The 25,084-nt window shown below is 37.0% G+C and overlaps 10 annotated features.

Annotated features, from left to right (window-relative positions):
- Positions 13,053 to 14,008: an enhancer, noted in NCBI's record as "OCT4-NANOG-H3K27ac-H3K4me1 hESC enhancer chr10:39078401-39079356 (GRCh37/hg19 assembly coordinates)". NCBI's record gives its function as "activates a minimal SCP1, AML or CMV promoter by ChIP-STARR-seq in naive and primed H9 embryonic stem cells {active_cell/tissue: H9 hESC(naive and primed)}" and the evidence as "EXISTENCE:reporter gene assay evidence [ECO:0000049][PMID:30033119]".
- Positions 14,009 to 14,964: an enhancer, noted in NCBI's record as "OCT4-NANOG-H3K27ac-H3K4me1 hESC enhancer chr10:39079357-39080312 (GRCh37/hg19 assembly coordinates)". NCBI's record gives its function as "activates a minimal SCP1, AML or CMV promoter by ChIP-STARR-seq in naive and primed H9 embryonic stem cells {active_cell/tissue: H9 hESC(naive and primed)}" and the evidence as "EXISTENCE:reporter gene assay evidence [ECO:0000049][PMID:30033119]".
- Positions 14,965 to 15,921: an enhancer, noted in NCBI's record as "OCT4-NANOG-H3K27ac-H3K4me1 hESC enhancer chr10:39080313-39081269 (GRCh37/hg19 assembly coordinates)". NCBI's record gives its function as "activates a minimal SCP1, AML or CMV promoter by ChIP-STARR-seq in naive and primed H9 embryonic stem cells {active_cell/tissue: H9 hESC(naive and primed)}" and the evidence as "EXISTENCE:reporter gene assay evidence [ECO:0000049][PMID:30033119]".
- Positions 15,922 to 16,877: an enhancer, noted in NCBI's record as "OCT4-NANOG-H3K27ac-H3K4me1 hESC enhancer chr10:39081270-39082225 (GRCh37/hg19 assembly coordinates)". NCBI's record gives its function as "activates a minimal SCP1, AML or CMV promoter by ChIP-STARR-seq in naive H9 embryonic stem cells {active_cell/tissue: H9 hESC(naive)}" and the evidence as "EXISTENCE:reporter gene assay evidence [ECO:0000049][PMID:30033119]".
- Positions 16,878 to 17,834: an enhancer, noted in NCBI's record as "OCT4-NANOG-H3K27ac hESC enhancer chr10:39082226-39083182 (GRCh37/hg19 assembly coordinates)". NCBI's record gives its function as "activates a minimal SCP1, AML or CMV promoter by ChIP-STARR-seq in naive H9 embryonic stem cells {active_cell/tissue: H9 hESC(naive)}" and the evidence as "EXISTENCE:reporter gene assay evidence [ECO:0000049][PMID:30033119]".
- Positions 17,835 to 18,789: an enhancer, noted in NCBI's record as "OCT4-NANOG hESC enhancer chr10:39083183-39084137 (GRCh37/hg19 assembly coordinates)". NCBI's record gives its function as "activates a minimal SCP1, AML or CMV promoter by ChIP-STARR-seq in naive and primed H9 embryonic stem cells {active_cell/tissue: H9 hESC(naive and primed)}" and the evidence as "EXISTENCE:reporter gene assay evidence [ECO:0000049][PMID:30033119]".
- Positions 19,005 to 19,584: an enhancer, noted in NCBI's record as "OCT4-NANOG-H3K27ac hESC enhancer chr10:39084353-39084932 (GRCh37/hg19 assembly coordinates)". NCBI's record gives its function as "activates a minimal SCP1, AML or CMV promoter by ChIP-STARR-seq in primed H9 embryonic stem cells {active_cell/tissue: H9 hESC(primed)}" and the evidence as "EXISTENCE:reporter gene assay evidence [ECO:0000049][PMID:30033119]".
- Positions 19,585 to 20,163: an enhancer, noted in NCBI's record as "OCT4-NANOG-H3K27ac hESC enhancer chr10:39084933-39085511 (GRCh37/hg19 assembly coordinates)". NCBI's record gives its function as "activates a minimal SCP1, AML or CMV promoter by ChIP-STARR-seq in primed H9 embryonic stem cells {active_cell/tissue: H9 hESC(primed)}" and the evidence as "EXISTENCE:reporter gene assay evidence [ECO:0000049][PMID:30033119]".
- Positions 21,902 to 22,480: an enhancer, noted in NCBI's record as "OCT4-NANOG-H3K27ac hESC enhancer chr10:39087250-39087828 (GRCh37/hg19 assembly coordinates)". NCBI's record gives its function as "activates a minimal SCP1, AML or CMV promoter by ChIP-STARR-seq in primed H9 embryonic stem cells {active_cell/tissue: H9 hESC(primed)}" and the evidence as "EXISTENCE:reporter gene assay evidence [ECO:0000049][PMID:30033119]".
- Positions 22,481 to 23,059: an enhancer, noted in NCBI's record as "OCT4-NANOG-H3K27ac hESC enhancer chr10:39087829-39088407 (GRCh37/hg19 assembly coordinates)". NCBI's record gives its function as "activates a minimal SCP1, AML or CMV promoter by ChIP-STARR-seq in primed H9 embryonic stem cells {active_cell/tissue: H9 hESC(primed)}" and the evidence as "EXISTENCE:reporter gene assay evidence [ECO:0000049][PMID:30033119]".

Genomic DNA, 25,084 nt, shown 5'->3' on the forward strand with positions numbered 1-25,084 from the left:
ATTTTTAGTAGAGACAGAGTTTCACCATGTTAGCCAGGGTGGTCTCGATCTCCTGACCTTGTGATCTGGCTGCCTTGGCCTCCCAAAGTGCTGAGATTACAGATGAGAGCCACCGCACCCAGCCTTTCCTATGCTTTTTTTTTTTTTTACTAGCTTCACAGTTTCAGGTCTCAGATTCAAGTCTTTAATCCATTTTTATTTGATTTGATTTTTGTGTATGGTAAGATGGGTTTCATTTTATCCTTCTGCATATGGTTATTCAGTTTTCCCAGGATCATTTATTGAAAAGACTGTTGTTTTCCCAGTGTATGTTCTTGATGCCTTTGTCAGAGATGAGTTGTTAGTAAATGTGTATATTTGTCTGTGATCTCTATTCTGTTCCACTGTCCTATGTGTCTGTTTTTATGCCAGAAGAAATATATTGGCAATAATTAGTACAGAAAAGCTGAAACAATGAAATGACAAAACTGAACTATACTGATATAATTCATTATGCTCACTAAATGCAATAGCATACAGCTAGGAAAACAATGTAGTGCACACGGTATTAAAATACAACACAATTCAATATACACAGTGCTCATAGTGGCCATCGTTAGAGTGTTGAAGAAGGGGATGTAGTCAGCAATAGTTGTACAGGTGACTTCAAAAGTAATAATAAGCACTTATGATTACTTTTGGCTTAATTTCTTAAACCAAGACTGGAGACACAGGTGTTCATTATGTGCTTATTATATATATAAAATAAATATTTTATAAATATATTGTTTCTATTCAGTATTTAATAAAGTAAATCAATAGAAAAGGTTAAAAAGCAAAGCACACATATTTCAAATGTTTTTTGCTCCAAATTATATAAACATTGCATAGTTATTGCCCTGGGCCTGGCAAGGTGACTCACACCTCTCATCCTAGCACTTTAGGAGACTGAGGCAGGAGGATAGCTTCAGCCCCAGAGGTCAAGGCTGCAGTGAGCCTTAATTGCACTACTGCACTCCAGCCTAGGTGACAGAGCAAGATGCTGTCTGAAGATAAAAATAAAAATAAGTTAATAAATAAATAAATATATGTTTATATATTAACTGATTTTATTAACTATATATATATATAGTTGTTGTCTTGGTCTATATGCAATCTTACAGTGCTTAAGACTTTGATACTGAGAACAGATCTCCTAGGTATATGCTGTGTTTCTGGGGTGACATGATGCTCTCATCTGGCCTCCGTGAGCCTAATTCTATCTTACATTTACCCCACTCTTCAACAACAACTTGGGGAGGTGTCCCTAAACATTCCTAGGTGAACCCAAACCTGTGGCCCTCAACACATTTCTAGGTAAAGCAAGCTCCTGACATATCCGTGGATATCCTCTCATTGGAAGAAGGGGGAAGAGGCCATCTCAAAATAATTCATTTAATATAGCTTTTCAGCATTAATTTTATTTTGATAAAGAGACACACAGCAAATAAAATTTCTAAAAAACTATAAACTTTCAAGCATTCTCACGCTAAATCTAGCCCTGCTCACATGCCAGGGAAATATAAAGGTAATCTGTTTCTCAACCTGACCAGGATGCTACAGTAATTAAAAATAAACTCAATCCCTGGATCCCTACCAAAGGGTCATTTCATATGGATCAAAGTTCTGGAAAAATTATTTGTCTGGAAATAGACTAATTTTCCAAAATATAATTGAAATAACAGCCTCTGGAAAGGGCCAAATACGACTCTTAATGATACAACAGCTAAATATAGGTCTGATGCTCATTCCGTGTGGACAACAATAGCAGCCGTCCCCACAAATGGCTGATTTGTGGGAAGTAAACACTACTTTTGCAGAATCTTACATGATTTCAGTAGAAGGGCAAGGATATTTCAGTTGGGAACAGATTGCTCCATGGTAATGTGATCACTATGTACCCAACAATGGCTCTTTCTTCCTAGCATCAATGCAGATGTTATTTTCACCTTAACTATTATCATTGCCTTTTCTAACCACATAAAAGTGTATCCTTTATATATCTGAAGTAAATTCATACTAGTGGTGTAACATCTCCAGCCATTTAAGTGTAAAAACAGAAAATGTATGATGTGTTTACTTACTGTTTTATACTCCTAACGCATGAAGAGAAGATCCTTTTATTCATTGCCTATACTTTTATTTCAAAACTTTCTGTAACACTTTATCTTATATCCAGCATAGAATTAAGATTTGCTTTTTGATTTAATCTGACAATATTTTTTCCTCTAGTAAGAGTCAAGCCCGCTTACTTTTAATGATAAATTGTGTTTGGTTATATTTTGTTTACAGTATATTATGCTATGATTTATATGCACATATCTGTCTTTTGCTGTCTTGTTTGTTTTTATTGCTTTTGTTTTGATGTTGTGATATTTGGAAGAGTTAAACTTTTATTCTGATGGCTACCTTATGTAATTTCAGAAAATCATCTCTTTCTTTAGACAGTAGCTAATGTCTCTAAACTAAGAACAATGGTATTAGCTGTATTCTCTTTCTTGTCCTCCCTATGTGATTTTTCATCACACAATTTGATTTAATCATATTAACTTTGATTCCCCTGATGCCATTAAGTGTGTTTACATTTCTATAAACAATATCCTTTGACTCCCAGGCATTACAGTTGAGCAGTCAGTAAAATCATTCTGAGGAATACTTTCTCTTTCCTTTTCTTCCATTTTTCTTAGTTGTATCATTTCTATATTGCCAGAGCACCTACAGTTGCATTTCTTTCTGTCAGCTTTATCCAGCATTTGTTTTTGTCTTTTATTTGAAGTTAAATATATTCCTTGCTCACTACAACACTGGGGGAAGGAAGGTTTCTGTTGTCATTGTTGTGCTTGTACAGTTGTTTATTTAAAAACATTGGCAAAAACAAAAACTGTATGTAGATGGAATGGAGATAAGACAGAAAATGAGAGAGACTGATTATGAGTGTGCCTATTCTAGACTGGGAGGCGTGCTACACTGAGTAGTGTCTGAAGGCCGCAGGAAAGGATGGATGATTGTGAGCAGGTAGACTTTCCACTGGAGGAGAGAAGTCCTGCTCTCAACAACCTGTGCAGAACCAGAAACTGGTAATGCTTCAAATCAACTTACAGACCTTTAGGTAGAAATTTAAGAAAACTCGTTTAACACCTAGTTTCCTAGAAAATATTAGCTACTATTTGCTGAGCATCTGTCAGTCTGTCTGTAGCATGGAAGATCTGAGTACAGGGGAAACTGAATTAGTAACAGTGGGTCAGAAAATTATATAATATTCAACCAAAATTCCTGCTTTACATACATAGCACCTGGTATTTCCAGAACTAGAAGGTAAAGAAATTATTTGTGCTTGAACTTGCAGAAAACTGCCTTTTCCCTTCTTCTCTTGCATCTTAACCTGGAGCTTTCCTTTTCTTGGGCCTCAGTGTGCTTCCCAACTCAATTTATAATTGACTTTCTGCAGTTTCTCCTTAGGACAGGGCTTTGTTTTGGGGGTGGTTAATTTGTAGGGTTCATAGGAAACAGACCACTCGCAGCACCTGCTTTTTGCCATCCTCACTCTCAGCTATGAGTTGAGGCCCAGGAAGCCTTCTGCCAGTCTCAGCTGCTGTTCTCAGATTAATCTGCTGAGTTCTTTTTGCCTAGTAAGAATCTCTGAATTTAGGAACATAGATGTTAGCGCTTCTATTTCTAGGTTTTCCAGTTCCCAGGGCCATTAAACATTTTTTTCCTTTCCTTTCCTTCTTCCAAAAAAATTGGTGATTCCCCTGGATCCCTGTGGTTTAACCTCACAAAAGGTCCATGATGACACCCTGTTACATTGTTTTGTCATAGTTAATACCTTGTTATCCCAGTTGCTCAGTCAGTTTTTGTGAGAGATTCAGGGATATTAATAAAACTGTGCTGCTGCTGCTACTAACATCTTGCATAAAATCCTATTAATTAAAATGTTTATTTTGCATGTGATTTGAACTTGTAATTTTTATTCAAAGTTTTTCAACAGAGATCCAGAAAAGACCCTCCTTATATTTTTAGTTGTGTGCATTGCAACACTTTTTAGTGAAAAAAAAAAAAAACATGAGAACAACACAAGTGATTTTAAAAGAATAAACCTACAATCCATTAATTATAAAATGAAATACTATGGAGATGTTAAGAATGAGGGAATCAATAAGAACTTGTGTGGGGTAACTACAAACTTTTAAAAAATTAATTTAATGCTCATGTGACCATATTATCGTTAAAAAATACTAGCATACTTGCACACACCTTCAAGCAAAATGGGTACACGCATTTAAAAATGTTTAAATTAAGTAAATGGCCCAATAATTTAACTATGTACAATTCTATGTTCTCTGATTATTTTATATGCTAGAAACAGACATTTCTGTTTTGTTTATTTCATTTGAAATAATTGTAGTCACATGAGGTTTAAGTTATAATACAGAGAGGTCACATATGCCTATTTTCTAATTGAATACCTTATTTATTACTATTGAGTTTTGAGAATTTTTTACATATGCTAGATGTAAGTTCTTTGTCAGATGTATGGTATGCAAATTATTTCTCCCAGTCTGTAATTCATTTTTTCAACCTCTTTACAGGGTTTTTCTAAGTAAAAAAAAAAAAAAAAAAAAAAAAGTATTATTTTAATGAAGTCCAGTTTTATCACTTTTTCCTTTTGTAGATTTTGTTTTTGATATCAAGCCTAAAAATTATTTGCCTAACCCAAGGTCTCAAGAGTTTTCTTCTATTTTAAAAGTTTAATGTATTTATTTATTAATTATTTTTGAGACGAGGTTTCGCCCAAGCTGTAGTGCAGTGGTGCCATCATTGCTCACTGCATCCACTAACTGCTGGATTGAAGTGATGCTTCCACCTCAGCCACTTCAGTAGTAGCTGGGATTACAGGCACGAGCTACCATACACAACTTTAAGTTTTATAATATTACATTTTACATTTAAGCCTGTGATTTATGTGAGCTAAATTTTATATAAAGTATAAATTTAGGTCAGTCTTAGTTTTTGTACCTGTGAATGTCCAATTGCTCTAGCACCATTTGTTGAAAAAGATATCTTTCCTTTAAACTGATTTTACATCCTTGTAAAAAAAAATCAGTTGAATATAGTGTGGTCTGTCATCTTTTAATAAGATAAAAACATTGGCACTCACCAGATATCAAAGTTTAGATATTTTTTTAAAGCTGAACTTCTGAAAATAGAATAAAAACACCTTCACATGTCAAATTAGTCAATTTATATAGGACTAATTCATTTAAATATATTAAAATACAAAATAATTCAAACCAGTAAAGTGATAATACAAGCCTATAAATTTAAAGGCTAATTATTAAGTCAAATTGCTGTATTCTACGTGTTAGAGTGAGTTCAAAAGATCCATTGTATTACTGAATAGGCAAAAGTTTTAATTTCAGAGGATGAAACTGATATATTACTGTCACCTTGTGGATATTCTGTTATTACAGGCTCTTATAAAAAGCAATGAGGGTATGTAATCTGTTCTAACAAGAAGCGTTTCCTTTTTTTTGTTGTTTTTATTATTGTTATTATTACATTTTAAGTTCTGAGATACATGTACAGAACGTGGAGGTTTGTTACATAGGTATACACATGCCATGGTGGTTTACTGCACCCATCAACCCATCATCTACATTAGGTATTTCTCCTAATGCTATCACTCCCCCTGCCTCCCACCCCCCTGACAGGCCTCGGTATATGATGTTCCCCTCCCTGTGTCCATGTGTTCTCATTGTTCAACTCAAAAGAAAATCAGAAGCATTTTCTGCTTTCCCAATTTCTTAAATACAATGCAACTTTATGTTTAATTTAACTAACTTAATTTTTTGAGACAAGGTCTAGCTCTGTTGCCCAGGCTGGAGTGGAGTGGCGTGAATATGGTTCAGTGAAACCTCCACCTCCCTGGCTCAAGTGATCCTCCTTCCTCAGCCTCTCGAGTAGCTAGGACCACAGGCACACACCACCATGGCCAGCTAATCTCTTTTTTATTTTTTGTAGAGATGAGGTCTCACTTTGTTGTCCACGCTGGTCTCAAACTCCTGGGCTCAAAGGATCCTCTTGACATGGCCTCCCACAGGGCTGGGATTTATAGGTGTGTGCCATGGCACCAGGCCTAAGCAACTGTAGAGAAGCCTTTTTTTCTTTCATAAAAACAGTTGTAGATATTTTCCTTATGGAATTTATTTGTGGTGAAATATTTTAATAGACGGATTAATTTGTTAAATAATTTGTCTCAGATAAAAATAATTGATTAATATTAAAACTACAAAACAAGTAGGGTCTTCTTTTTCTATGAAAAATGAAAGTTGATTCTGACATTTATGTAAACATTTTAAATATTCAAAGTATATAAATGTGAAGTCCTATCAAGGGTAATTAGACAAGAGAAAGAAATAAAGGGCATTCGAATCGGAAAGGAGGACATCAAATTGTTCCTATTGGCAGATGACATGATCTTATATATAGGAAAACCTGAAGACTCTACCAGAAAACTTTTAGAACAAACAAATTCAGTGAAGTTGCAAGACACAAAACTAATACACAAAGATTGGTTGCATTTATATATATGAACAACAAACTCGCTGAAAAAGAAATTAAGAAGGCAAACCCATTTACAATAGTTACCAAAAAAAACCCAGACATAAATGTAACCAAGGAGGTAAAATGAAAACTACAAAACACTAATGAAAGAAATTGAAGAGGATACAAACAAATGAGAAGACATTCACACTCATGGATCAGAAATATGAATGTTGTTAAAGTGACAGTACTACTCAAACGTAACCTACAGATTCAATGCAATCTCTATCAAAATACCTATGAACATTCCTCACAAAATTAAAAAAAAAATCCAAAGAGATTTTATGGAATCAAAAAATATTCTGAATAACCAAAGCCATCCTAAGCAAAAAGAACAAAGCTGGATGTATCATGCTACCAGACCTCAGAATATACTACAAAACTGTAGTAACCCAAAACATCATGGTATTGGCATAAAAACAGACACATAGACCTATGGAATAGAATAAAGAACCCAGAAAATCCACATATCTCAGCCAACGGATTTTTTACAAAGATGCCAAGAACAGTCATTGGGGAAAGGATAGTCTCTTCAATAAATGGTGCTGGAAAAACTGGATATCCATATGCCGAAGAATGAAACTAAACCTCTGCCTCTCACCCTATACAAAAATCAACTCAAAGTATCTCAAATACCCAAATATAAGACCCAAAATGGTAAAGCTACTAGAAGAGAACATAGGGAAGATCCTTCAGGACATTGCTCTGGGAAAATATTTTATGAATAAGGCATCAAAAGCACAGGCAACAAAAGAAAAAATAAACAAATGGGATCACATCAAGCTAAAAATCTTCTGCACAGCAAAGGAAATAATAAAGTGAGTGAAAACACAACCTACAGAATGGGAGAAAATATAAACTCATCTGGCAGGAAATTAATATCAAGAATATACAAGGAATTCAAACATATCAACAGCAAAGAAGCACAACAATCTAATTAAATATAAACAAATGCTCTGAACAGACATTTCTCAAAAGAAGACATACAAATTACCAACAAATATATGTAAAAATGTTCAACACCACTAATCAGCAAGGAAATGCTAATCAAAGCCACAGTGAGGCATCATCTTACTCCAGTTAGGATGGCTATAATAGAAGAGACAAAAATAACAAATGCTGACAACGACGTGAAGAAAAGGGACCTTTTTTTGACAGAATCTCACTCTCCGTCCAGGCTGGAGTGCAGTGGTGGTGTAATCTGGCTCCCTCTGCTTCTAGGGTTCAAATAGTTCTCCTCCCTCAGCCTCCTGGGTAACCGGAGAAAAAGGAACTCTTATGAACTGTTGGTAGGAATGTAAATTAGTGCAGCCAGTATGGAGAACTTTATTGAAACCCCTCAAGCAATCCCACTACTGGGAATTTATCCAAAGGAAAGAAAAGCATTATATTGCAGAGACATCTGCATCCCCATGTTTATTGCAACAGTGTTCACAATAGCCAAGATATGGAATCAACCTAGGTTTCCAACAACAGATGAATGGATTTTTAAAATATGGTATATATACACCAAGGAATGCTATTTAGCCATAAAAAAGAATAAATAAAATCCTGTCATTCTCAGCAACATGGATGGATCTGGAGGATATTATGTTAAGCAAAATAAGCCAGGAATAGAAATTTCAACACCACATGTTCTCACTCACGCAGAAGCTAAAAAATAGTTGATCTCATAGAAGTAAAAAGTAGAACAGAGGATACTGCAGGCTGAAAAGGGTAGGGAGAAAGGAGGAATAGTAAGAGATTTGTTAATGGATACAAAATTACAGCTAGGTAGAAGTAATAAGTTCTAGTGTTCTATAGTACTGTAGATGACTATAGTTAACAATACTATATTATGTAGTTTAAAATACCTAGGAGTAGTTTGAATGTTCCCAACACAAAGAAATAATAAATGTTTGAGACGATAGATATGCTAATTACCCTGATCTGATCACCATCTACATGTACTGAAACATCCCTGTATAGCCATGAATATGTATAATTTTTGTCAATTTAAAAAGTAAAAAAAAAAAATTAATCTTGGAGAATGCATTTGAAGGACTTGTACTTGAGAAATCAACTTAAGAACCTCTGTCTCCTTGGAATTTGTGTTTTCTAGACCAGCACTTCTCCAAATTAAAGCAAATTTAGGCTGGGCATGGTGGCCCATGTCTATAATCTCAGCACTTTGGAAGGCCGAGGCGGACAGATCACTTGAGGTCAGGAGTTCCAGACCAGCTCACCCAACATTGTGAAACCCTGTCTCTACTAAAAATACCAAAATTATCCGGGCATGATGGCATGTGCTGTAATCCCAGTTACTTTGGAGGCCGTGGCAAGATAATCGCTTGAACTGGAGAGGTGGAAGTTGCAGTGAGCCGAGATTGCACCACTTTGCTCCAGCCTGGGCAACAGAGCAAGACTCTGTCTCAAAAAAAAAAAAAAAAAAAAGCGAATTTAGTTCACTTTGGTATTGTGTCAAAATGCTGATTCTTTTAAAGTAAATCTAAAGAATTTAGATGTAGTTGAAGCTTGTCATCTGTTCTTAATTTTTTAATAAAAATATAATATTTCGATTCAGAGTAAATCTAAAGTGAGACCTGAAGCTGCTCCCAGGTGATACTGATGCTGCTTATTTTTGCACAGATTTTGAGTCACAAGGTTCTAAATTATTGGTTTGAAGTCCCACATGAGTAATTACTTGGGGAGCTCAATTAACACCCAGCAACAGACTAATTATTAATAAATCAGAATCTTCAGTATTAGGCTTCAATCATTGGCAATTTTTTTTTTGACACTCAGTCTCCCACTGTCGCCCGGGCTGAAGTCCTGAGGCCAGAATGAGACTAGCACATGGTTCCTTTGCCTACGTAAAGTGTGGCACACAATGGAATACTTCAGACTTCAAATTAGTATGGTAAGTGCTATGAAGAGTATGATTCGAGTCCATTATTTACCCAGAAAAGGGTCACTCAGCCCAGCCTGGGAGTTAGAGAAGGTTTCCTGAAGTCTTGACATGTGAGTCATGAAAGGACATAAGGAGTTAACCACGTGACAAAATAAGCTAAGAGAATTCTCAACAAAAGACAAAATATTGGCAAAGGCTTTTAGGCATATACTAGCTTAGTATTATTGGGAGAATGTAATGATTTTCTGTATTTCAAAAGTGTAAAATACAAACTGGGCCATGATATGAGATAAACCAGTAAATATGTTCTGGGAACAGATCATAGAAGGGCGTGTATGCTGTCCTAAGGAGCTTAAACTTCAACTTCAGTTCATGGGAGCCAATGACAAGATCTGAGCAGGGGAAGGATGTGGCTAGAGGGGCGTTTTAGGCAGACAAGATCCTCTGTGGATTACACCTAGGCTAAGCAACGGGTTAAAGTTGTTGTCTTAAGACAATAGTCCAGGTAAAAGATAATAAAGTTTTAAATTAGGATGTTAGTAGGAATGAGGAAGAGGGATGGATTTCAGAAATAGCAAGGAAATGTATTAGCAGGACTTGATTAGTGATTGACTTGGGGAAGGAGGGGAAGATAGAGTTCAGGATGACTCCGAGACTGTCTGGTGTCGGTGGCTAATGACTGAAGCTATTAATAGAGGTAGGAAATGCAAAACAAAAGCAGGCCCGGGGTGAGAGATGATAAATTTGAATTTTAACATTTTGAGTTTGGACATCCAGGATGAAATAACCACAAAATATTTAAATATACGAATCTGAAAAGGTAAGCATCATAAGCATATGAGCTATTGGTAAAATTCTGATACTTAATGAAGTCTCGCAGAGAGGCAGTACAGAAGCAAGCAATGGGCTGGGTATAAAACATAGGGAAATATTATTTAAATGAAGATGAAAGAAAAGGAGCCCACAAAGGAAGCTGAAAAGTCATAGTCAAAAAAAGAGGCTTGCCAAAGTGCCACCTTTGAAGCTCTGCTGTTACACTTTATAAGGAAACTTTTGGTTACCTGGGATTGCATGCATTTATAAAAGTTTCTATCATTAGGAAGACAATAATAATGATAAGGCTCTTTCTCATTGTTGTCAGTGTAATTTATCTATTTAATTATAGAACCTAGTTCCAGGATGCTTAATCTGAAGTATATACTTGGGGCAAAATGAATTATATCTTAATAATAATCTGGAATTTTTCTCTCTAACTTGACATATTTTAATTCTTGTTAGATTTTCAAAACGTCATACCTCGAACCACCACCAGATGGCTATGAGAATGTTACAAATATTGTGCCACCATATAAAGCTTTCTCAGCCCAAGGCATGCCAGAGATAAAATAAAATACATTTGTAACCCAAGTCTTTAAATGGTTCTTTTGCTATATAAAACCTTTATAGAGGACTAAAACCAAGGAAATTAGGTGAATCATTCATGCGGATTCATTGTTTGATATTCAGTACTATGAAAATCTCATCCCTCAAATTTAAAAAATTATAATAAAATAGAAAAGAACACCAGACAGAGAAAAAAGAAACAAAACAAATACATTAAAAACTGACCCTGCTGAAGCAGATGCCACTCTTTGAAATAACAAAGAAACTGCTGAACACGCCTTTAATTCAGTGAGGCAGTAGGTGTTTTTTTTTCTTTATTTTTGAGTATTGCCATTTGAATACATTCCACTCTCTTCCATTCGAGTCCATTCCACTCCATTCCATTCCATTCCATGCCATTCTATTCCATACGAATCATTTTGATGCCATTCCATTTGATTATATTCCTTTCGACTCCATTCCTTTCCATTCCGTTCCATTCCATTCCATTCCATTCCATTCCATTCCATTCCATTCCTTTCTATTCGATTCCAGTCCATTCCATTCAATTTGTATCCATTCCAATCGAGTCCATTTCACTCCCGTCCATTCCATTCGATGCCATTCCATTCGAGTCCATTCTATTCGAGTCCATACCTTTCAATTCCCTTCGATGCCATTCCATTTGATTCTATTCCATTCGACTCAATTCCCTTCCTTTACATTCCATTTGATTCCATTCCATACTATCCCTTTCCATTCCATTCCGTTGCATTCCATTTCATTCCATTCGTTTCCATTCCATTCGAGTCCATTCCATTCCAGTCCATTCAATTCGAGTCCATTTCATTTCAATCCATTCCATTTGATTCCATTCCATTCCATTCCATTTGATATCTTTCCATTGCACTCCATTCCATTCTATTCTTTTCGTTTCCATTCAATTCCATTCCTTTCGATTCCATTCCTTTCGATTCCATTCCATTAGACTCCATTCAATTCGAGTCCATTCCATTCCATTCCATTCCTTTCGAATCCGTTCGATTCCAATTTGCTCCAATCTATTCAATTTGAGTCCATTCCATTCCACTCCATTCCATTCCAGTATATTCCATTTGATTTCATTCCATTTGATTCCACTCCATACTATTGCAAATCCATTTCTTTCCATTCTATTTGAATAAATTTCATTCGAGACCATACCTTTCGGGTACATTCTATTTGAGTGGATTCCATTCGAGTCCAGTATAATTGGATCCATTCCATTCCATTCAATTCGATGCCATTCCATTCGATTCATTCCATTCGAGTCCATTCCATTCCATTCTATTCCATTCCATTCCATTCGTTTCCACTCCAGTCGGGTCCATTCCACTCCAGTCCTTTCCATTTGAGTTCATTGCATTCCAGTCCATTCCATTTGAGTCCATTCCATTCCATTGCATTCCATTCGATATCTTTCCATTACAATCCATTCCATTATTTTCCTTTCCATTCCATTCAAATCCATTTCATTCGATTCCATTCAATTCGACTCCATTCTATTCAAGTCCATCCCATTCCATTCCATTCCACTCCCTTCCTTTCAATTCCAATACGTTTGATTCCATTATGTTCCAGGCCATTCCATTCGACTCCATTTCATTCCAGTCCATTCCATTCTATTCCATTCCTTTTGATTCCATTCCACTCGATTCCACTGCATTCCATTCCATTGCATTCCGTTCTATTTCATGGCATTGCATTCCATTCCATTCCATTTGATTACATTCTATTTGATTCCATTCCATTCGAATCGATCACATTGCAATCCATTACATTCATGTCCGCTATATTCCAGTCCATTCCTTTCCCGTCCATTCCATTCAATTCCATTCTATTCGAATCAATTCCATACTACTGCATTCCATTCGATTCCATTCTATTCGAATAAATTCCATTCGAGACCATTTCTTTCGTGTCCATTCTATTTGAGTCCATTCGTTTCTAGTCCATTACATTTGGGTAAATTCCATTCCATGACATTCCATTCCATTCCATTCCATGTCATTCCATTCGATTATTTTCCATTCGAATCCATTCCTTTAAAGTCCATTCCATTCCATTAAATTCCAGTCCATTCCATTTGATGCCATTCCATTAGATTGTATTACATTCAACTCCATTCCATTCCATTCCGTTCCATCTGATTCCTTCCCATTCTATTCCTTTCCATTCCATTCCACTGCATTCCATTCCATTCATTTCCATTCCATTCGAGTCCATTCCATCTGAGTCCATTCCATTCCAGTCCATTCCACTCCAGACCATTCCATTTGAGTCCTTTTCATTCAATTCATTTCATTTCATTTGATATCTTTCCATTACACTCCTTTCCATTCCATTCCTTTTGATTCATTTCAATTCCATTCCTTTCGATTCCAATCCGTTTGATTCCATTCCATTCCTGTCCATTCCATTCTATTCCATTCCATCCCGTACCATTCGATTCCAGTCTTGTCGATTCAATTTTATTGCAGTCCAATCTTTCGATTCCACTCCTTTTAATTCCATTTGGAATCCTTTGGATTCCATTCCACTCGATTCCACTCTGTTCCATTCCATTGCATTCCATTCTATTCCATTCTATTGCATTCCATTCCATTCCATTTGATTACACTCCATTCGATTCCATTCCATTCAAATCTATTAGATTGCAATCCATTGCATTCAAGTCAGTTCTATTCCAGCCCATTGCATTCTGATCCATTCAATTCGATGCCATTCCATTCGATTCCATTCCGTGTTATTGCATTCCATTTGATTCCATCCTATTCGAATAAATTCCATTCGAGACCATTCCTTTCGAGTCCATTCTATTTGACTCCATTCCATTCGAGTCCATTACATTTGCGTCCATTCCATTCCATTCCATTCCATTCCATGACATTCCATTCGTTTCTATTCCATTCGTTTCCATTCCATTCGAGTCCATTTCATTCGAGTTCATTCCATTCCATTCCATTCCATTCCATTCGATGCCATTCCATTCGATTCTATTCCATTCGACTCCATTCCATTCCATTCCATTCCATTCCATTCCATGACATTCCATTCGTTTCTATTCCATTCGTTTCCATTCCATTCGAGTCCATTTCATTCGAGTTCATTCCATTCCATTCCATTCCATTCCATTCGATGCCATTCCATTCGATTCTATTCCATTCGACTCCATTGCATTCCATTCCATTCCATTCCATTCGTTTCCATTCCATTCGAGTCCATTCCACTCCAGTCTATTCCATTCGAGTCCATTCCATTCCAGTTCATTCCATTCGAGTCCATTCCATTCCATTCCATTCGATATCGTTCAGTTACACTCACTTCCATTCTATTCCTTTCGTTTCCATTCAATTCCATTCTATTCTATTCCATTCCATTCGATTCCATTCCATTCTATTCCATTCCTTTCGATTAAATTCCACTGGATTCCACACCATTCCATTCCATTGCATTCCATTCTATTCCATTCCATTGCATTCCATTACTTTCCATTTTATTACATTCCATTCGATTAAATTCGGTTCCATTCCTTTCGACTCCATTCCATTCGAGTCAATTCCCTTGCAATCCATTCAATTCCATTCCTTTCAGTTCGACTCCAATCCGTTGAATTCCAATATGTTCCAGTCCATACCATTCGAGTTCATTCCTTTCCAGTCCATTCCATTCGATTCCCTTCCATTTGATTCCATTTCTTTCGACTCCATTGCACTGGATTCCACTCCATTCCATTCCTGTGCATTCCATTCTATTCCATTCCATTGCATACCACTCCGTTCCATTTGAGTACATTTCATTCGTTTCCATTCCATTCAAATCAATAGCATTGGATACCATTACATTCGAGTCCATTCTATTCCAGTCCATTCCATTCCGGTCCATTCCATTCGTGTCCATTCCATTCCATGCCATTCCATTTCATTTGATTCATTTCCATTCGATTATATTCCATTCGACTCCATTCCATTCCATTCCTTTCCATTCCATTCTATTCCAATCCATTCCATTCGTTTCCATTCCATTTGAGTCCGTTTCACTACCGTCCATTTCATTCGATTTAATTCATTCCAGTCCATTCCATTCGAGTCCATTCCATTTCATTCCATTTCATTCGATATCTTTCCATTACACTCCATTCCATTCTATTCTTTCCATTACATTCAACTCCTTTTCATTCGATTCAATGCCATTCAATTCCATTCCATTTGATTCCAGTCCATTCTAATCCATTCCATTCCATTCCGTTCCATTCAAATCCAATCCGTTCGATTGCATTATGTTCCAATCCATTCCATTCTATTCCATTCCATTCCAGTACATTCCATTTGATTCCATTCCATTCAATTCCATTCCATTCGATTCCACTGCATTCCATTCCATTGCATTCCGTTCTATTCCATTCCACTGCATTCCATTCCATTACATTTGATTACATTCTACTCGATTCCATACCATTTGAATCATTCACATTTCAATACATTACATTCGTGTCCGTTCTATTCCAGTCCATTCCTTTCCAGTCCATTCCATTTGATTCCATTCCATTCGATTCCATTCAATTCGATTCCATGCCATACCACTCTTTTCCATTTGATTCCATGACATTTGGGTCCATTCCATTCCATGACATTCCGTTCCATTACATTCGATGCCATTCCATTCGATTATATTCCATTCAAGTGCATTCCATTCGAGTCCATTCCATTCCATTTCATTCCATTCCATTTGATGCCATTCCATTCGATTCTATTCCATTCTACTCCATTCCATTCCATTCCATCCGACTCCATTCCATTCTATACTTTTCCATTCCATTCCATTGCATTCCATTCAATTCGTTTCTATTCCATTCGAGTCCATTCCACTCCTGTCAATTTCTTTCGAGTCCATTCCATTCCAGTCCATTTGATTCGAGTGCATTCCATTCCAGTCCATTCCACTCGAGTCCATTCCATTAAATTCCATTCCTTTTGACATCTTTCCATTACACTCCATTCCATTTTTTTCCAATCGATTCCATTCCATTCGAATCTATTACATTGCAATCCATTACATTCCTGTCCGTTCTATTCCAGTCCACTCCATTCCAGTCCACTCCATTCGATTCCATTCCATTTGATACCATTCCATACTATTGCATTCCATTCCATTCTAATTGAATAAATTCCATTCGAGACCCTTCCTTTTGAGTCCATTCTATTTGAGTCCAGTCCGTTCGAGTTCATTACAATTTGGTCCATTCCATTCCATTAAATTCCATTTGATGCCATTCCCCTCTATTCTATTGCATTCGAGTCCATTCCATTCCATTCCATTCGATGCCATTCCATTTGATTCTATTCCATTCGACTCCATTCCATTCCATTGCCTTCCATCCAATTCCATTCCATTCTATTCCTTTCCATTCCATTCGTTTCATTTCCATTCCCATCCATTCCACTCCAATCCATTCCATTCGAGCCATTTCAATTCCAGTACATTACATTCGAGTCCATTCCATTCCATTCGATTTGATTTCTGTCCATTCCACTCCATTCCACTCTATTCCTTTCAATTCTCTTCAATTCCATTCTATTCCTTTCCATTCCATTCGGGTCCATTCCACTTGACTCCATTCCATTCGAGTCCATTCCATTCAATTCCATTCCATTCAGTTCAATTCCAATCTGTACAATTCCATTTTGTTCCAGTCCTATCCATTCGAGTCCATTATATTCCAATCCATTCCAATCGATTCCATTCCATTCGATTCCATTCCACTCGATTCCACTCCATTGCATTCCAGTGCATTCCATTCTATTCCATTCAATTGCATTCCATTCCACTCCATTTGATTACATTCCATTAAATTCCATTCAATTCGAATCAATTACATTGCAATACATTACTTTCCTTTCCATTTTATTCCAGTCCATTCCACTCCGGTCCATTCCATTTGACTCCATCCATTCAATTCCATTACATACTATTGCATTCCATTCGATTCCATTCAATTCGAATAAATTCCATTTGAGACCATTCCTTTCGAGATCATTCTAATTGAGTCCATTCCATTTGAGTTCATCACATTTGAGTCTATTCCTTTCCTTTCCTTTCCATTCCATTTGATGCCATTCCATTCGATTCCATTTCATTCGAGTCCATTCCATTCGACTTCATTCCATTTCATTCCATTCCATTCCATTCCATTCCTTTCCATTCGAAGCCATTCCATTGGATTCTATTCCATTTGACTCCATTCTATTCCATTCCTTTCCATCTGATTCCATTCCATTCTTTTCCTTTCCTTTCCATTCCATTCGTTTTCATTCCATTCGAGTCCATTCCACTCCAGTCCTTTCCATTCGAGAAAATTCCAATCCAGTCCATTCCATTGAAGTCCATTCCATTACATTCGATATCTTTCCACTGCGCTTGCTTCCTTTCCATTCCATGCGATACCATTGCATTCTATTCTATTCCATTTGAGTCCATTCCATTCGAGACCATTCCATTCCACTGCATTCCATTCCATACACTTCCATTCCATACTATTCCTTTCCATTCCATTCTTTTCAATTCCATTCGTTTTCTTTGCATTCGAGTCCATTCCACTCCAGTACTTTCCAGTCATGTCTGTTAAATTCCAGTCCATTCCATTCGAGTCCTTTCCATTCCATTCCATTCGATATCTGTCCATTACACTCCATTCCATTCTATTCCTTTTGATTCCATTGAATTCAATTACGTTCGATTCCATTGTATTCAATTCCATTCCATTCGACTCCATTCCATTCGAGTCCATTTCATTCCATTCCATTACGTTCCGCATGATTCCAATCCGTTCCATTCCATTTTTTTCCATTCCATTCCATCCCAGTCCATTCCATTCTAGTCCATTTAATTCCATTCCATTCCATTCAATTCCACTCGTTTCCAGTTGGTTCGATTCAATTTTGTTGCAGTCCATTCCATAACTTTACATTCCATTCGATTCCATTCCACTCGATTCCATTCCACTCGATTCCATTCCACTCAATTCCATTCTACTCGAAACCACTCAGTTCCATTACATTGTATTCCATTCTATTCCATTCCATTGCATTTGATTACATTCCATTTGATTCCATTCCATTCGAATCAATTACATTGCAATCCATTACAATCAACTGAGTTCTATTCCAGTCCACTCCATTCCAGTCCCTTGCATTCGATTCAATTCCGTTCGATTCCATTCCATACTATTGCATTCCATTTGATTCCATTATATTGGAATAAATTCCATTCAATACCATTCATTTCGAGTACATTCTATTTGAGTTCATGCCATTCGAGTCCATTACATTTGGGTCTACTCCACTCCATTCCATTCCATTCCATTCTATTCCTTGCCCTTCCATTCCATTGTATTCCTTTTGAGTCCATTTCATTCGAGTCCATTCCATTCCATTACATTCCATACCATTTGATGCCATTCCATTCGATTCTATTCCAGTTGACTTCATTCCACTCCATTCGATTCCATCTGATTCCATTCCATTCTATTCCTTTTCATTCCATTCCATTCCATTCCATTGCATTCCATTCCATTCCATTCCATTCCATTCCAATTGTTTCCCTTCCCTTCCCTTCCATTCCATTTCATTCCATTTGTTTCCTTTCCATTTGAGTCCATTCCATTCCATTCCATTCCATTCCATTCCATTCCATATCTTTCCATTGCACTCCATTCCATTCTATTCTTTTTGATTCCATTCAATTCCGTTGTATTTGATTCCATTCCATTCAATTCCATTCCATTTGACTACATTCCAATCGAGTCCATTCCATTCCATTCCATTCTGTTCCACTCGATTCCAATCTATTCGATGCCATTTTTTCCAGGCCAATCCGTTCGAGTACATTACATTTCAGTCCATTCTATTCCATTCCATTTGAAGCGATTCAATTCCACTCGATCCCACTCCTTTCGATTCCATTGCATTCTATTCTATTCCAATCCATTGCATTCCGTTTGATTACATTCCGTTTGATTCCATTCAATTTGATTCCATTCCATTTGATTCATTTCCATAGTATTGCATTCAATTAGATTCCAGTGTTTTCGTATGAATTCCATTCGAGGCCATTCTCTTTGGAGTCCATTCTATTTGATTCCATTCCATTAGTGTACATTACATTTGGGTCCATTCCATGACATTCCATTCCATTCCATTCCATTCCATTCCATTCATTTGATGCCATTCTATTTGACTCCATTCCATTCGAGTCCATTCCATTCGAGTAAATCCTTTCTGTTCCATTCCATTTCATTCCATTCCATTCGAAGCCATTCCATTGGATTCTATTCCATTTGACTCCATTCCATTCCATCTGATTCCATTCCATTCTATTCCTTTGCATTCCATTCCATTCCCTTCCCTTCCATTCCATTCGTTTCCATTTCTTTCGTGTCCATACCACTCCTGTCCATTCCATTTGCATCCATTCCACTCCAGTCCATTCCATTCGAGTCCATTCCATTCCATTCCATGCCATTCGATATCTTTCTATTACACTCCATTTCATTCTATTCCTTTCAATTCCATTCCATTCGGTTCCATTCCATTCGACTCTATTCCGTTCTAATCCATTCCATTCCATTCCATTCCATTCCATTCCGTTCTGTATGATTCCAATGTGTTAGATTCCATTTTGTTCCAGTCCATTACATTCGAGTCCATTCCATTGCAGTCCATTCCATTCGATTCCATTGCACTTGATTCCATTCCGTTCCATTCCATTTCATTCCATTCTATTCCATTCTATTGCATTCCATTCTATTCCATTTGATTACATTCCATTCGATTCCATTCCATTTGAATCAATTACCTTTCAATCCATTGCATTCGATTCCGTTCTATTGCAGTCAACTCCGTTTGATTGCATTCCATTCGATTCCATTCCATACTATTTCATTCCATTCGATTCCATTCTATTCGACTAAATTCCATTTGAGACCATTCCTTTCGAGTCCCTTCTATCTGAATCCATTCCATTCGAGTCCATTACAGTTTTGTCCACTCCATTCTATTGCATTCCATTCCATTCCATTCCATTGCATTCCATTCCATTCCATTACATTCCATGCCATTACATTCCATGCCATTACATTTGATTCTATTCCATTCGAGTCCATTCCATTGAATTCCATTCCATTCCATTCCATTCTATGCCATTCCATTCGATTTTATTCCATTTTACTCCATCCCATTCCATTCAGTTCCATCCAATTCCATTCCATTCTATTCCTTTCCCTTCCACTCCATTCCATTCCTTTCATTTCCATTCCATTCTAGTCCATTCGTCTCTAGTCCATTCATTTGGGTCCATTAAATTGCACTCTATTCCATTCGAGTCCATTCCATTACATTCCATTCGATATCTTTCCATTACACTCCACACCTTTCTGTTACTTCAAATTCATTCAATTCCGTTCCATTCGATTCCATTTCATTCAGTTCCATTACATTCAAATCCTTTCCACTCGAGTCCATTCCATTCCATTCTGTTCCATTCAATTCCAATCCGTTTGATTCCATTTTGTTCCAGTAAATTCCATTCGAGTCCATTCCATTCAAGTCCATTCCATTCGATTCCATTCCATTTGATTCCATTGCACTCGATTCCACTCCATTCCATTCCATTGCATTCCATTCTATTCCATTCCATTGCCTTCCATTCCATTCCATTTGATTACATTCCATTTGATTACATTCCATTTGATTCCATTCCATTCGAATCAATTACTTTGCAATCCATTTCATACGAATTTGTTCTATTCCAGTCCATTCTATTCCATTCCATTCCATTTGATTTCATTCCATTCTATTCCAATCCATAGTACTGAATTAAATTCGATTCCATTCTATTAGAATAAATTTCATTTGAGACCATTCCTTTTGAGTCCATTCTATTTGAGTCCATTCCATTAGATTCCTTTACATTTGGGTCCACTCCATTCCATTCAATTCCATTCGATGCCATTCCATTCTATTCTATTAAATTTGAGTCCATTCCATTAAATTCCATTCCATTCCATTCGATGCCATTCCATTAAATTCTGTTTCATTCGACTCCATTCCATTCCATTCTGTTCCATCTGATTCCATTCCATTCTATTCCTTACCATTCCATACAATTCATTTCCACTCTTGTCCATTCCATTTGATTCCATTCGACTCCAGTCCATTCCATTCGTGTCCATTCAATTCCTGTCCATTCCTTTCGAGTCCAATGCTTTAGACTCCATTCCATTCGTTTCAATTCCATACTATTGCATTACTTTCGATTCCATTCTATTCGAATAAATTCCATTCGAGAACTTTCCTTTCAAGTCCATTCAATTTGAGTCCATTCTTTTCTAGTCCATGACATTTTTGTCCATTCCATTGCATTCCATTTCATTCCATTTCATTCTATTCCATTCTATTCCATTCCATTCCATTCTATGACACTCCATTTGACTCTATTCCACTCGACTCCATTCCATTCGAGTCCATTCCATTCCATACCATTCAATTCGATGGCATTCCATTTGATTCTACTACATTCGACACCATTCCATTCCATTATGTTCCATCATATTCCATTCCATTCTATTCGTTTCCATTCCATTCCATTGCATTCCATTCCACTCCTTTTCTTTCCATTCATTTCCATTCCATTCCATTGCATTCCATTCCACTCCATTTCATTCCATTCTTTTCCATTCCATTCGAGTCCATTCCCCTCCTGGCCATTCCATTCTAGTCCATTCCATTCCAGTTCATTCCAATCGAGTCCATTCCATTCCATTCCATTCCATTCCATTCCATTCCATTCCATTCCATTCGTTATCTTTCCATTACCCTCCATACCATTCTATTCCTTTCGATTCCATTCAATTCTATTCCATTTGATTCCATTGCATTTGATTCCATTCCATGCGACTCCATTCCATTCGAATCCATTTAATTCCATTCCGTTCCTTTTCATTCAGTTCTATTAAATTTCAATCCGTTTGATTCCATTTTTTCCAGTCCATTCATTTCGAGTCCATTCCATTACAGTCCATTCCATTCGAATCCATTCCATTCCATTCCATTCAATTGCATATCTTTAACTTACACTCCATTTCATTCTATTCCTTTCGATTTCATTTAATTCCATTCCATTGCTCTCCATTCCATTCGAATCCATTCCATTCCATCAGTTCCATTCAATTCCAATCCATTCGATTACATTTTGTTCTGGTCCATTCCATTCGAGTCCATTCCATTCCATTCGATGTCACTCCATTGGATTCTATTCCATTTGACTCCATTACATTCCACTCCATTCCATCCTATTCCATTCCATTCTGTTCCTTTCCATTCCATTCCATTCCATTCTATTCGTTTCCATTTCTTTCGAGTCCATTCCACTCCAGTCCATTCCATAAGAGTCCATTCAATTGTAGTGCATTCCATTCGAGTCCATTCCTTTCTATTCCTTTCGATTTCTTTCCATTTTACTCCATTCCATTCTACTCCTTCCGAATCCATTCAATTCCATTATATTTTATTCCATTCCATTCGATTCCATTCCATTCGAATCCATTCCATTCGATTCCATTCGATTCCATTCCATTCCATTCGATGTCACTCGATTGGATTCTATTCTATTCGACTCCATGACATTCCACTCCGTTCCATCTAATTCCATTCCATTCTATTCCATTCCATTCCATTCCATTGCTTTCCATTCCATTCCATTCCATTCGTTTCCTTTCCTTTTGAGTCCATTCCACTTCAGTCCATTCCATTCTAGTCCATTGCATTCCAGTCCGTTCCATTCGATTCCATTGCATTCCATTACATTTGATAACTTTCCATTACACTCCATTCCATTCTATTCCATTCGACTCCATTCAATTCCATTACATTTGATTCCATTCTACTCCATTCCATTCTAGTTAAATCCTTTTCATTCCATTCCATTCCATTTGATTGTGATCTGCACGATTCCATTTTGTTCCAGTCCATTCCATTCGAGTCCATTCCATTCCAGTCCATTCCATTAAATTCCTTTCCCTTCGATTCCACTCCATTCGATTCCATTCCACTCGATTCCACACCGTACCATTCCATTGCATTCCATTCTATTCTATTCCATTCCATTGCATTCCATTCCATTCCACTTGATTACATTCCATTATATTCCTTTCCATTCGAATCAGTTACATTGCCATTCATTACATTTGAGTCCGTTCTATTTCAGTCCATTCCATTCCGGTCCATTCCATTCGATTCCATTCCGTTCAGTTCCATTCCATACTATTGCATTCTATTCGATTCCATTGTATTCGAATAAATTCCATTTGAGAACATTCTTTTCGAGTCCTTTCTCTTTGAGTTCATTCCATTCGAGTCCATTGCATTTGAGTCCATTCCATTCCATTCCATTCCATTCCATTCCATTCCACTCCATTCCATTCCATTCAAGGCCATTTCATTCAATTCTATTCCATTCGAGTCCATTCCATTCGACTCCATTCCATTCCATTACATTCTATTCCGCTCCATTCTATTCCATTTAAGGCAATTCCATTCGATTATATTCCATTCGGGTCCATTCAATTGGAGTCCATTCCATTCCATTACATTCCTTTTGGTTCTATTTGATGCCATTCCATTCGATTCTCTTCCATTCGAATCCATTCCATTCCATTCCCTTAAATCCAACTTCATTCCATTTTAGTCCTTTCCATTCCATTCCATTCCATTCTTTTCCCATCCATTCCAGTCCATTCCACTCCAGTCCATTCTATTGGAGCCCATTCCATTCCAGTCCTTCCCATTTGAGTCCATTCCATTCAAATCCATTCCATTCGAATCCACTCCATCCCTTTCCTTTCTATTCGATATCTTTCCATTACACTCCATTCTATTCTGTGCCTTTCGATTCTATTCAATTCCGTTCCATTCAATTCCATTTCTTTCAATTCTTTCCTTTTGACTCCATTCCATTCGAGTCCATTCTATTCCATTGCATTCAATATCTCTAGATTACACTCCATTCCATTCTATACTTTCAAATCCATTAATTCCATTCCATTCGTTTCCTTTCCATTCGGTTCCATTCCATTCGACTCCCTGCCATTCGATTCCATTCCATTCCATTACAATCCATTCAATTCGAATCCAATCCTTTCGATTCCATCTTGTTCCAGTCCATTTTATTCGAGTCCATTCCATTCCAGTCCATTCCATTTTATTCCTTTCCATTCAATTCCATTCCACTCGATTCCACTCCCTTCCATTTTATTGCATTTCATTCTATTCCCTTCCATTTCATACCTTCCATTCCATTTTATTACATTAGATTTGAATCCATTCCGTTCAAATAAATTACATTGCAATCCATTACAGTCGAGTCCATTCTGTTCCAATATATTCCATTCCAGTCAATTCCATTTGGTTCCATTCCTTTCTATTCCTTTCTATACTATTGCCTTCCATTCGATTCCATTCTTTTTGAATAAACTCCATTCGAGACCATTCCTTTCGAGTCCATTCTATTTGAGTCCATTCAATTCTTGTCCATTGTATTTGGTTCCATTCCGTTCCATTCCATTTCATTCCTTTCCATTCTTTCCATACCATTCGATCTCATTTCATTCTGTTCTATTCCGATCGAGTCCATTCCATTTCTTTCCATTCCATTCGATTCTGTTCCATTCGTCTCCATTCCTTTCCATTCCATTTCATCCGATGCTGTTCCATTCTATTCCTTTCAATTCCATTCCCTCCATTCAATTCGTTTCGATTCCATTAGAGTCCATTCAACTCCAGTACATTACATTTGTCTCCATTCCATTCCAGTCCATTTCATTCGAGTCCATTCCATTCCACTTGATATCTTTCCAATACTCTCCATTCTATACTATTCTATTTGATTCAATTCAATTCCATTCTATTCAATCCCATTCCATTCGTTTCCATTCCATTCGACTCCATTCCATTCGCGTCCCTTCCATTCCATTCCATTCCATTCTGTTCGATGCCATTCCATTGGATTCTATTCCATTCGTCTCCATTCCATTCCATTCCGTTACGTATGATTTCATTCCTTTCTCCTCCTTTCTATTCCATTCCCTTCCATTCGTTTCGTTTCCATTCCATTCGAGTC

The sequence above is a fragment of the Homo sapiens genome, chromosome 10, assembly GCF_000001405.40.
Source record: "Homo sapiens chromosome 10, GRCh38.p14 Primary Assembly".
Classification (NCBI taxonomy): Eukaryota; Metazoa; Chordata; class Mammalia; order Primates; family Hominidae; genus Homo; species Homo sapiens.